The 12729-nt window shown below is 42.5% G+C and overlaps 1 protein-coding gene and 1 long non-coding RNA gene across 7 annotated transcripts in view, besides 5 other annotated features; one reads left to right on the top strand and one right to left on the bottom strand.

The window, feature by feature from the left end:
* The window catches only part of SMAD4 (SMAD family member 4), a 54830-nt gene extending 44295 nt beyond the window's left edge, over positions 1-10535 (bottom strand). For 4 of the 6 annotated variants that reach the window (NR_176265.1, NR_176264.1, NM_005359.6 and 1 more), the window contains exon 1: positions 10125-10535. The gene's annotated coding sequence lies outside the window, so the exon portion shown is untranslated. The remainder of the gene's footprint in view (positions 1-10124) is intronic. The other 2 variants (NM_001407042.1, NM_001407041.1) reach the window with 1 other exon arrangement.
* Positions 9921-10500: a silencer, noted in NCBI's record as "silent region_9461". NCBI's record gives its function as "represses an Ori minimal core promoter by ATAC-STARR-seq in GM12878 lymphoblastoid cells {active_cell/tissue: GM12878}" and the evidence as "EXISTENCE:reporter gene assay evidence [ECO:0000049][PMID:35858748]".
* Positions 9921-10950: a biological region, named in NCBI's record as "H3K27ac hESC enhancer GRCh37_chr18:48556194-48556812".
* Positions 10306-10924: an enhancer, noted in NCBI's record as "H3K27ac hESC enhancer chr18:48556194-48556812 (GRCh37/hg19 assembly coordinates)". NCBI's record gives its function as "activates a minimal SCP1, AML or CMV promoter by ChIP-STARR-seq in primed H9 embryonic stem cells {active_cell/tissue: H9 hESC(primed)}" and the evidence as "EXISTENCE:reporter gene assay evidence [ECO:0000049][PMID:30033119]".
* The window catches only part of LOC107985152 (uncharacterized), a 55307-nt gene continuing 53231 nt past the window's right edge, over positions 10654-12729 (top strand). Inside the window, exon 1 of the long non-coding RNA XR_007066370.1 lies at positions 10654-10830. This is a non-coding gene — a long non-coding RNA (uncharacterized LOC107985152). The remainder of the gene's footprint in view (positions 10831-12729) is intronic.
* Positions 10781-10950: an enhancer, noted in NCBI's record as "active region_13325". NCBI's record gives its function as "activates an Ori minimal core promoter by ATAC-STARR-seq in GM12878 lymphoblastoid cells {active_cell/tissue: GM12878}" and the evidence as "EXISTENCE:reporter gene assay evidence [ECO:0000049][PMID:35858748]".
* Positions 12586-12685: an enhancer, noted in NCBI's record as "active region_13324". NCBI's record gives its function as "activates an Ori minimal core promoter by ATAC-STARR-seq in GM12878 lymphoblastoid cells {active_cell/tissue: GM12878}" and the evidence as "EXISTENCE:reporter gene assay evidence [ECO:0000049][PMID:35858748]".

The raw sequence follows: 12729 nt of genomic DNA, 5'->3' as shown, positions 1-12729 counted from the left end.
TTGCTATTAATTGTAAGCTGTCACCTGACGTTGACCATAGGTATACTAATAAATGGACGAGAAAGCCAAATAACCAAACTAATTAAGATACTCTCTAAAATTAAACAGGCTGAATACTGGCCAGAGAGAGGTTCTCATGTAAATTCATGTATTTTAGGTAAGGAGTGTTGACATTTTTTCTCAGATGTTAGTTTACTTTTGAATTAACTGTATTATATGTGTCAAACATGTATTTTCTAGAAGTTGTAAGTGTTTTGATCAGTGATCAATAAACTACTTACTATGGGAATATTTGAGAAAAGTGCTTAAAATTTTTTTTTTTTTTTGAGACAGAGTTTCACTGTGGCCCAGGCTGGAGTGCAGTGGTGCCATCTTGGCTCACTGCCACTTCTGCCTCCTGGGTTCAAGCGATTCTCCTGCCTCAGCCTCCCCAGTAGCTGGGACTACAGGGGCGCATCACCATGCCCAGCTAATTTTTGTATTATTAGCAGAGACAAGTTTCACCACGTTGGCCAGGATGGTCTCGATCTCCTGACCTCATGATCTGCCCGCCTTGGCCTCCCAAAGTGCTGGATTACAGGTATGAGCCACCATGCCCGGCGCAAAAGTGCTTAAATTTAACTAGGGGAGGAGAAAAAAGCTGGGCCTGGTAATATATCAATGTTATTACTAGGAATAAACTCTAAACTTAGGTTTACCAACAGGAAAAAAAGGTGTTCACGGTTAGTGCAACTGTCTGCAGCACAAGCTAAAGACTAAATCCTAGACAGCAAGTTGAGGTTCTTCAAACTGAGGGCAGTTGGCGAACTTCCAAGAGCACATTTATACAGCAATAAAAGCAACAAAAAGTTTTTTTTTAACTTTTAAGATGAATGACAAAGGACAAATCGAGATGTATGCTTCTTGTTTACCTATGTGTCTTAAATGTCATTTTGGTATGCCACCTTCAGTTTAAATGATCTTATTTAAAAATTACCCTTTTTGGATTAATAAATTAAAGGCTGTTAAAAGAAGAAATAACAAAGTACTATAGGTGGACATCAGTTTTTGTGTACCAGCATGTATTTCTCCATTTGTAAAACAGCAGTCTGATTTTCCAAGGAGAATCTCCCCATCTGGCCAGGTGGGACAATTCCCAGACTAACCAGAGCCACCCCCTGGCCACAGTGTTGTTTCTGATGAAAAAGAACGCAAGGCAGGCAAGTGACATAGCTCTAGCACTTCCGATGGAACTACGGGGGGTGGGGGGGTGGGGGGGTGGGGGGGGGAAGGCCCTCTTCATGCTTCCTTGAAGCTGGGGATAGTTAGCCTGCAAACTACCTGAGAAACAGAAAGAAAGCAAAGTCAAGAGTCCTGGTGATGCTGCTTGAAACCCTGGATATAGCAATCTGAGGTCAGCTCTATCTCCAGACCAAGCCAATGAATTCCCCTTTTTACTTAAGTCTGACTCTTACATGTTCCCTGATAACTGAACAGAAACTGAATGACTAACGTCCTTAGAAATAACAGCAATATAGTACAAACCATAAAAACAATTCAATCAATCAGTAATTTAGTCGATAATGCATAGAAATAGTTACTTTAAAACAGCAGCTGTCAAACTCTCTGATCTCAGGATCCCTTTATTCATATTCTTTTTCTGAGACATAGTCTCAGTCTGTTGCCCAGGCTGGACTGCAGAGGCATGTTCTCAGCTCTCTGCAACCTCCGCCTCCCAGGTTCAAGTGATTCTCGTGCCTCAGCCTCCCAAGTAGCTGGGATTACAGACATGTACCACCATGCCCAGCTAATTTTTGTATGTTTAGTAGAGAAAGGGTTTCGTCATGTTGGCCAAGTTGGACCTTTATTTATACTCTTCATTATTAAAGACACCAAATAGCTTTTATGCGGGCTATATACATTGATATTTATCATATTATAAATAAATAAAACTACTAAAATTTTTGGTATTTGCTTTATTAATTCATTTAAAATAATAAACCCATTACGTTAATATAAACATCTTATGAAAAACAGAATTTTCTAAAACAAAGTCAGGAATCAGAGTAACACTGTTTTACATCTTCACAAATTTCTCTTAATGCCTAGCTTAATAGGAGACAGCTGGATTCCCATATCTGCTTCTGCATTCAATCTGCTATGATATGTTGTTTTGTTTAAAGTACATGAAGAAAACGTGTCTCACATGGACAGCTAATTGGAAGAGAGGAGTATTTTAACAGCCTTCTCAGAAAACAATGGATATTCATCTTTTATTCAACACCAAAACTCAAGTGGCAATTCTGAAAGGTTAGTTGCAATGTGGAATTCACTGTATCAGTGAACTTTTTGGCTCTGGTGTATATAAAAATCCATTTGTCTATGTTGTACTTTGAACGGATCGCCTACCCATGCACGATTTTGTAACATGAATTGGTCATTTGGGAAAATATTGGTTCAATGAGTTACACAGATCTTCCCAGTGTTGACACACTTCCTCATACTGCCCCCCCCCCCACAGTCTCGCTCTGTAGCCTAGGCCCGAGTGCAGTGGTGCGATCCTAGCTTAATCCAGCCTTGAACTCCCTGGCTGAAGCAATCTTCTCACCTCACCCTCCTGAGCAGCTAGAACTACATGCCACTACACCTAATTTTTATATGTTATTGTAGAAACAGGGTCTCGAACTCTTGGCCAAAAGCAATTCTCCCACCTCCGCCTCCCACAGTGCTAGAAATATGGGTGTGCATCATCGTGCCCAGCCCAACATATTTTTTTTAATCACATTCCTTAATATCACCACCCATCTCATCAGAAAAGTCTTTAAGTATTAAGAAACTGGCAAGTCATAGTGACAGGAGTTTCCCAAAAATCTGATTTTCACTTGAAACATCAGATTTTAGCACTGGCTATAAATGTTCTCCTCGAAGTGGCCAGCTCACTTTATTCATTTCCAAGGAATTACCTGCCAAATACTCAAATCTAAATAGCTATCTGAGCTTATCTGTCATCCTGTTAAATAAAAATAAAAATGGTGTCCCACTAAAAAGCAGCTAGTTCAGCTTGCAGCTCAATAACACAAGTGCTTTTCCTAGAAAAGAACACTGTACTTCAATGTGCAGAAATGCTTTATGCATACTTCCCATTTAATCACACTATTAAAAAGACATACTCCAAGGTAGAGATTTTTTTAAAATTAAACCTTTTTACTGCTGCAGCAAGGGGATTATTAAGTGAAACCGGCATTTTTTCAAATGCTTATGTGTGTTTGACTATAAAGAACACAATGAGGACTCATATGTTTGGTATAACTGCCTAGAGTCATTTTAAAGTGCCAGCAGTTTACCCACCACTGCTCCTTCACCACCCATACAAATGTCCTCACAGTGAAAGGGCAAATAACGTCTCAGTTTCATTATGAAAATAATTTTGATTTTGTGAACCCCTTAAATATAAGGATCCTAGGGATCTCCAGGAGTCTGTGGACCATACTTTGGGAACCACTGTTTTAAAAGATGGTGGAAACCAAACTGAATTTTAATAACTGATAACTGAAAAATACATTTTATAAAACTTTTTTTGTTTTTTTGAGACAGTCTCGCTCTGTCAGCTAGGCTGGAGTGCAGTGGCACAATCTCAGCTCACTGCAACCTCTGTCTCCCAGGCTCAAGCAATTCTCTTGCCTCAGCCTCCCAAGAAGCTGGGATTACAGGCATGTGAGTAGCTGGGATTACAGGCATGTGCCACCATGCCCAATGAATTTTTGTATTTTTAGTAGAGACGGGGTTTCACCATGTTGGTCAGGCTGGTCTCAAACTCCTGACCTCAGGTAATCCGCACCCCCCTTGGCCTCCCAAAGTGCTGAGATTACAGGCGTGAGTCACCGCACCCGGCCTCATTTCATAAAACTTTTAACTGAAGCAGAGTTTCAAGTCATCTAGCTTATTCCTTCAAAGGGGGATGTATCAAAATCCCCCGCAGGTTAGGCCAGCTCCACTAACTAGAATCAAGGGTGGGGCTGTACCTTTAAAAAACACTCTGGAAGTCTGAGGTACTGTTAGTTTTACAAAGCATTGATCTAGTCTACAATCTTTACTTTACAAATTAAGTATCATGAGTATATGCAACTGATTAAAAAGACTAATTATATAGAAGTTGTATCATTTTTCCTTACAATTAGCCAGCCCCTTCATTATTTCAGCATCTATACACATTCTTCCTTCAACTAGTTTTAGTAGGCATATTTATGATGTAAGACACACCTAATGTGTTTATGTACAATGATTCCTGGCTTAGCTTACCCCATTAAATATTATTTCCGGTCATCCTTTCACTAGATTATTCAATTTTTACAAGGACTGCCCATCTACTGATAACATATGCTCTAGAATTCACTAGTGAATATCACTGACAAATATCCTTAATTCATCTTATATTTAGAAATACATTTTGACTTGAAAAGACCTGAGTAGCATACATTCATCCATATTAACATACAGAAATAATACCTTACTATAAAAATATATATTCGGTAGCATTCCTAGTTTTAAATCATAAATAAGATTTGGCTAGCCTGGGCAACAAAGCAAGACCCCCGCCCCCCCATTTCTACAAAACAGTTTTAAAAAAATCAGCCAGGCGTGGTGGTGCCGGCCTGTAGTCCTAGCTACTCTGGAGGCTGAGGCAAGATCTCTTGAACCCAGAAGTTGAAGGTTATAGAGGGCTATGATGATGTTACTGCACTCCATCCTGGGCAACCTGTCTCTAAAAAATAGATAAATAAAGCAGTAAGGATAAGCATACCAAAATAAACAAAACCTTTAGAATCAAGAGGCACTTTTTAAAAATAACACAGATTCCCATGCCTCCTCCACTCCATTCCCATTCTGAAGCAGCATGTGTGTTGCAATCAGATGGGAAAAAATATTTTTATTTTTTTAAATAGCTCTTCCAGAGACAGAGATGAAACTACTCCATAGCCCAGCACTTGGGAACTACTTCAGGTGATGTAAATGGAGAGCTGAACATGCCCTAGATGATCTCTACAGAAGTACTAGCTAGCTGGCCTAGCTGAGCAAATGTCTCACAGTGTATTAATTAAGCCCTGACAGAAAAAGCCCAATGCAACCTGCCTCTCAGAAACCAGTTAAGTGACTAGTTAATTGGGGGCTTGAAAATGTAAGGTTTACCAAGTAGATTAACGCCCTAAGAAGACAATTTGCATTGGGAGTTATATTTATTTATTTATTTATTTATTTTAGAGATGAGGTCTCACTTTGTTGCCCAGGCTGGCCTTGAAATCCTGGGCTCAAGTGATCCTCTTGCCTTAGCCTCCTGAAGTGCTGAGATTATAGATGTGAGCCACCAGACCAAGCCCACAGGGAGTTCAGATGCTAACTTGGGGACTTAAAGTAATTAGTCTCCAAAAGGAGTACAAGTAAGCATTTGAGAATATACTTTAAAAGAAAATCAACTTCCTATTTAAAATAGTGATGATATACTAACTTCTCATCATGGGAAATACAGCTTCCTAAAACTTACTACCAGACAGTTCAAATAAACTGAAAGTGAAGAAAGAAACAGAGGAGAAAGGAATAGGTGACAGGAAGGGGGAGAGAAAAGAAAGAGACAGACACAGAAGCAAAGCAAATGTGGCAATACTTTCAAAAGACCCGTTAAGTTAGATGTGTGAGATGGCTACACTGTACATGTGTGTAACACTGTATTAAAGAATGTAAAGCTAACACAAGTGAAACAGTTCAAAAGAAAAAGTCAGAGGACCCTAATGACTCAATCACTGCGGAGGGCTAACCTGGCTGCACCCTAGACCAACCAAATCATAATTTCTGGGGCTAGAATTCAGGTATCAGTATTTTGTAAAGCTCCTCAAGGGATCTAAAAGTACAGCCAAGATTGAAAACTACTTGCCAGGCGTGGTGGCTCATGCCTTTAATCCCAGCACTTTGGGAGGTCGAGGTGGGACGATCACTTGAACCCAAGAGTTCAAGACCAGCCTGGGCAACAGAGAGAGACCCCCATCTCTACAAAAATTTTTCAAAAAATTAGACAGGTGTGATGGTGTGTGCCTGTAGTCCCAGCTACCGCAGCAGCTGAAGTGGGATTGCTTGAGCCTGGGTGGTAGAGGCTGCAGTGAGCTATGATTGCAGCACTGTACTCCAGGCTGGGGCACTGAGCAAGATGGAAAGAAAAAGGAAAAAAAGGCTGGGCGCGGTGGCTCATGCCTATAATCCCAGCACCTTGGGAGGCTGAGGCGGGTGGATCACCTGAGGTCAGGAGTTCAAGACTAGCCTTGCCCAAAATGGTGAAACCCCGTCCTCTACTAATAATACAAAAAAATTAGCTTGGCATGGTGGCGCACGCCTGTAATCTCAGCTACTCGGGAGGCTGAGGCAGGGGAATCGCTTGAACCCAGCAAGTGGAGGTTGCAGTGAGCCGAAATCGTACCATTGCACTCTAGCCTGGGTGACAAGAGCGAAACTCCGTCTCAGAAAAAAAAAAAGAAAAAGAAGAAAAAGAAGAAAAAGGGAGAAAGGGAGGGAGGGAGGGAGACAGGAGAGAAGAAAAGACCGTTGCCCTAAACATTGGGAGTAAAAAAGCAATAAAAAGATGAATTCAACACATTTACAAGTTTTCCAAACTGCAAAAAATTCTCATTTGGAATATAAATAATGAAATACAGTCTTTGGGCTGAACGGTCTTTACTGTTACCGCCAATTTTAAACTGATTAAAATGTTAACAGACCCTCTTTACAACTGGTCTTTGGTACTTATCTGATCTATAATATAATTTGCAGTAGCAACTCATCAAGGCTTAGATTATGAGAACCTTATAAATTGTAAGAATCCGACTACCTACCATCTTAGTTTTACATATGTAAGCACTACCCTAGTTTTCATTCACTCTCATAGTTAAAAACAAATGTTCCCGGATGCCAATTACACCAGGTAATAGTGTTAAGGTGACACAACCTAAAATACCTTGTTCCTGAGAAACTGGAATTCAGTCAAATTTCCCATTACCAAAATTACACATTTTAGAAAGAGAAAACAAAATCCAAAAATTCTAAATCTGACTTATGATCAAGCATATGCTTGATATATGCAAACAGCATCATTCTACAAGTAGCTCAAATGAATATATCTAGATATATTTGTGAACTGTTTGAATTTCTCATTTTAAAACAATTGAGACTTCATCAACTGTTGAACAAAAAGCCCAAAATGTGATAATTTTACAAAACTGTATTAAATGCTGTTATAGGACAGGCGCAGTGGCTCACGCCTGTAATCCCAGCACTTTGGGAGGCCAAGGCGGGCGGATCACCTGAGGTCAGTTGTTCAAGACCAGTCTGGCCAACATGGCGAAACCTCGTCTCTACTAAAAACACAAAAATTAGCCAAGCGTGGTGGCACATGCCTGTAATCCCAGCTACTCAGGAGGCTGACGCAGGAGAATCGCTTGAACCCGGAAGGCGGGGTTTGCAGTGAGTGGAGATCGCGCCTCTGCACTCCAGCCTGGACAACAGAGCGAGCCTCCATCTCAAAAAAAAAAAAAAAAAAAAATGCTGTGTTATGCTGGTGTAAGTCCTTTAACTGTAGAAAACAATGAAAACATTTTAGTCAGGTTACTTTTATACGCGATTAATGGTCACCTCAGAGTCACCCCATTCATCATGGCTTTAAGACAAAAAAAAATTTTGGGGCGTAACCACACAGTCTTCTAGTTCAACAAAATAAGAGAAATCCAAACATATATAATGACCATTGAAATGGCTAATACAAGATGCTTAAAGAACCACTCTAAAAAAATCGCTGGATTAAAAATGAAAAAAATGGTTAGTCATGAACTAGAGAGGGACAAAATGAACTAAGTTTAAACATCGACAAAACAACATGTTTTCACCAAAATAGGCAAAAATTTAGACAAGCCGAAATATGCAGTTTAAATATAATGAACCCTACAGATTCTGTAGGGTTAACCTCCCTAGCAGAGGCCTCAGTAACTCACACCTCAATTAGAATAGTGTCTAATGATGTTACTATAACACTGGCTCAATCAGAAAAAAACTGCTTCCAAGTGGGAGAGCTGGAGTGTGACTGGGCAGCATAAATTAGGTTAATTCTCGCTCCTTAATTTGCGGGGAGAAAGAAAAACTGAAGGGGAATACAGAAAAAGAATTCACACACAATCGCTCGACTAAAATGTAGCTTAAGAAAGTGAAGCAGAGGTTTTTAAAAGTAAGATTTGCTGCTTCCTAGTAGAGGGAGAATTGCTTCAAACAGCAAAGCTATCATAAAAGATCAATCATTCATGTAAAACTTATTCCAAAATATTTCAAAGTGACTTTCTCGGCACAAATTTTCATTAAGTCTGAAAAACAGATTTGCAGTTTGGTTTTTTCTAAACTCAAGATTTACAATGAAGGCAGTGACCTAAACAGAAACATACACTCCCACTTCAAAAATAAAAAAAACGAAGATGCAATACTTCTTTAAAACTCGCCCAAAAACCTGGAAAGCAAAGAAAAAGCCACTTCTATTAATAGAGTCACAAAATGTTATAACGACTTTTATCAAAAGAAGCTTTTAGTTTTAATTCCAACAACTTAAACCTACATAATTCACCATCGTCTTTAGACCTAAAGCTACTCCGAATTACAAATGCTTGGTCCATCTCTATTACATTTGTTCTGTAACAAACCCATTTAAGTAAACAAAATCATGACAGCATTATGGAAGAAACACTAATTTTAAAAACCGTATTTTTAAATGTTAATCATTTTACAGTTTGGAATATTATGTACTAATCATATCAGAACTTTCCAATATAGAGAGAGTAAGTCCTTAGCATTAAAAAAAAGTTACATTTTAGAACTTCCTAGATTTCAACTGAAATATATATTATCTAGTCTCTGCAGGGTATGGCAAAAGTAATTTATGAAATCCACCATAAAAATTATTCAAATGCCTTGTTCTAAATCTAATTACGAAATTACGCATTTTTTTTTTTTTGATACTAAATGGTTTTTGCCAGCAAAAAGGAGTGAACCTACTTCTTAAAACACCCGAGTAACCAAGCTGCTACTAAGACTAGAAGGATGCTAATTCTGGCAAAAGTCAAAGGTTACTAACAAAAATTAGCTAAGATTATATGTTTGCAGAAAGTCAATTCAGGGTAATTCCGCTATTATCCTGTTGTGTTTATTATTCCTAAATAACTGGCAATTCCACCTTAAACTACGGTGCAAAAACTAAATGCATTAAGAAACTAATTGGGAAATAAATGTGTTTTTTTAAATAAAAACAAACGTACTTAGGTTTTTGAAGGGAAACAGCTATCAATCTTCAACAGGGCTTTTTAAAGCCTCTGCACCAGCAAATAAACCTTTCAGGTTAACTAAACACACTTGTGTCTTTGAAAATCTAGTTTGAGAAATCCTAACAGCAGTTTGGGACAAGTGATGGAGCCACCGCCCTCCACCCTACACCAATTTCACTGTCAGTACATGCAGTGCTAACAGTAAGATCAGCTGTGTCTTTTATTAGGAAGCATGTTTTATTGGGGGCAAGGAGGGGTTCAGTTAGGTGCTAAGAATGTGTCCTGCATACCGCTGTCACTCTCAGTACTCAAAAAGTAAACATATCAAAGCCAGAAGCGTAAACTGGCATGACAAGACTAGGAAGAGAAAGTAGGGGACAAAGACAAAACAGAAATTGGCTGGAGAAAATAAATTTAGACAAACAATTTACAACTTTCACTTAGACCCTAAGGCAACACATTCCAGCCGACCCAACGCGCTCAGCCGGGGCGACCGTGAAACTACTGAGAACAACAAAGAGGAGCGGCGGCCGCGGCAGGAGTCCCGTCCGAGTTTAACTTGATTCTCCCACGAGCTGCAAGCGGAGCTGGGGGCCCGAGGGACGCGAGGCACCGCCGCCCGGCATTCAGCCGGCCCGCCCGGCCCGGCTCGTCAGGCCGCCGCGGTCGCCCTCCCAGAGGATTCCGCGCGCTCCCAGCCGCCGCCGCCGCCGCCGCCGTCGTCGGGAGCCCGCCCCGGGGCGGGGAAGCCACAGGCGGGGTGCGCGGGCCCGGCCGGGGGAAGGGGAGGGGACATGGCGCGGTTACCTGGGCTCGGGCGGTGGCGAGGGGAGTCCGCTCTCCCGCGCTGCTGGTCCGCGGACGCACCGGGCCCGTAGCTTTCCCCGGCGGCCCGGAGAGCTCCTCGGCCCCCGCCCCGAGGCGTCCCGGCCAGGCCGCCCCTCCTCAGCGCCGCGCCGCTGCCCGCGCGGGCCGGACCGCCTCGAGCTCCCGGGCCGCCCTGCGGCGGGGGGCCTCTCTCGCTGGGCGCCTGGCTCCCCTCACCCGCTCCCACCCCCTGGGCGGCCGCGGAGCCTAGGGGAGAGCAGGAAGGGCCTCCCGAGGAGAGCGGGAAGGCGCGAACGCAGGCTCCGCCACCCAAACCGCTCCGTTACCGCAGCGGCGACGACGACCAGGGCCGTGTTGTTGCTGCCAACTTGTCGAGAAGCCACTGAGCATGCGCGCGCGGGGACCACATCCGGGTAATTTCAGGGTTTGGCCCTTTTCCCCCGCAGCTTTCCTTTCTCCCGGCTGCCCCCGCCTCCCGCTCCGAGTGACGGGGAGGGTCGCTCTGCGCAGGCGCCTACAGGGCAGCGCCAGCCGGCGGGCGGCTCTGAATCTGGACCTGGGCCTGGGCCTCAGCGCGGGCGGAGGCGAAGGCCTGTTTGAGGGAGTGGTCGCCGGGGAAATTGGCATCTCGTTGCAAAAAAGTATCCAAGGAGCGCGGGAGAGCTCGGCGTAGAGTGGGCGTCCAGTAAGTGTTTATAAATAGCTATTAGCCCGGCCTTTGTTGTTTTTTTGTTTTGTTCTGTGTTGAGGACCTGCGTAGGCACAAAAATTGGCCTTCAACAGCCAGTCGACAGCTCTGGGGAGAAGGTGGCTAGGTTGTAGGAGTTCACTTCGGGAAGAAACAGACGCTGGCGGCACCTTCCTTCTCTTTCTGGCAGCCCCGAATCACGAGCCCCAGAGGTGTTTACACTCGAGAGACGCACAGGACAGTCAAGGAATCACATATTGAAGAGCCTTGCCAGGCGTTGCAAGTGTGAGTGGATTTTGTTGGAAGAGATGTAGGCGCACTCTCGGAGCTGGAGGCGAACTTCGAATCCTACGACACACCTGTTAACTAGGTTACCTGTTTGTTTGGTGGGGGAAGGCATAGGCTCTGCTTTTGACTTTATGCCTCTTTTATTTCACATTTTTTACAAGACGCATGCATTTCTTTTTCATTTAAAACGCATTAATGATTTATTTTCACCAACCAGGAACTACTTTTAGTCCCTCCAAAACCAATGATTAGCCAGTTCTAAAGTCATTTCTTAGGTCACGTCGCCCAGAAAATCTCTACACCCACCGTACGCCTTCGCCACTCATACTCAGTGCTTCATTCTATCCTCCACATCACCGCCTGGGCCATTCCCTCTTTGACCAGAAAGCCCCTAAAGCTCCAAACTGGTGTTCTCTTACCCCTGGGGTTTATGGAGACCAGTTTTAAGGGAATTCATTTCCACATCTTCCATTGCTATATATTCTATTTTCTAAACTTGCCCAGCTTGAGAAAGGAGCTGAGGACACAGCATCCCCTTTCAAAACTGTCCTCCCACCTTACAGAAGAAAGTCAAAATTCTCACCCACTACTAAGGTGCATGGGATCAATGCAGAACCTCCCCAGCAATCCAAAAGGGACAATTCAAAAATCGGTATCTATGCTGAGAAAGTAAATGACCTTAGTGAATGGATATTAAATTATTTTTCAAGTCAGATAGTTTTCAAATCTTTTCTGTCAACAAAACTGAAGGAAGATCTGTCAGCTGATAGATTACAAAACATGATTTGGTAACAGATCAATATGTGAATCTTAGGTAATATACCTCAGAAGAAGTTTTTAAGAAATTGAGACATTGTTATAACTAAACTTCTTCTATTCCGTCTGTATTAGTTACCTATTGCTGTATAACAATCTCACCACAAATATAGAAGCCTAAAACAACAAACATTTATGATCTTACAGATTCTCTGAGTCAGGATTCCAGGCATGGCTTAGCTGGGTCCTCTACAAAGTGAGGCTGGAACAAAGGATCTGCTTCCAAGTTCATGTGGTTGTTGGCACCATTCAGTTCCTTGCAGGCTACAGGACTGAGGGCCTTAGTCCTTTGCAGGCTGTTGGCTGGAGACCCCCTCTGTTCCTTGCCATGTGGTGCTCTCCATAGGGAAGCTAACAATATGGCAGCTTGCCTCTTCGAAGCCAGCAACGGGAAGAGTCTCAGCAAGACACTGGTTTCAATCTTATGTAACATCATCACATACACAGTATCACTCATACTCTGTCACCTTTGCCATACATTGCTGGCCAGAAGCAAATCACAGGCGCCACCTACATTGAAGGGGAAGGAAACACACAAAAGCTTGAACACCAGGAGGTGGGAATCATATGGGGCCTCTTTAGAGTCTACCACACCATGTATTTATTTATGCAAATGATATTCCCTGTAAGCTCAACCTCTTCTCAGAATTTCCCTTCAGGTTCCCTTCACCTTTTTACTTAAGGAAACCCAACTTTGCCCTGGGACACTGCTCCTCCTTCCACCTCTCAAGTAGTGGCAACTGTGTTTTCTTTCTTTTGTTTTTTTTTTTTTTTCATTTTTAAAATAGATCA

This window comes from Homo sapiens, chromosome 18 (assembly GCF_000001405.40).
Source record: "Homo sapiens chromosome 18, GRCh38.p14 Primary Assembly".
In the NCBI taxonomy this organism is placed as follows: domain Eukaryota; kingdom Metazoa; phylum Chordata; class Mammalia; order Primates; family Hominidae; genus Homo; species Homo sapiens.
Note: the sequence above shows the minus strand (reverse complement) of the source record. Positions and strands in the feature narration are given on the sequence as shown.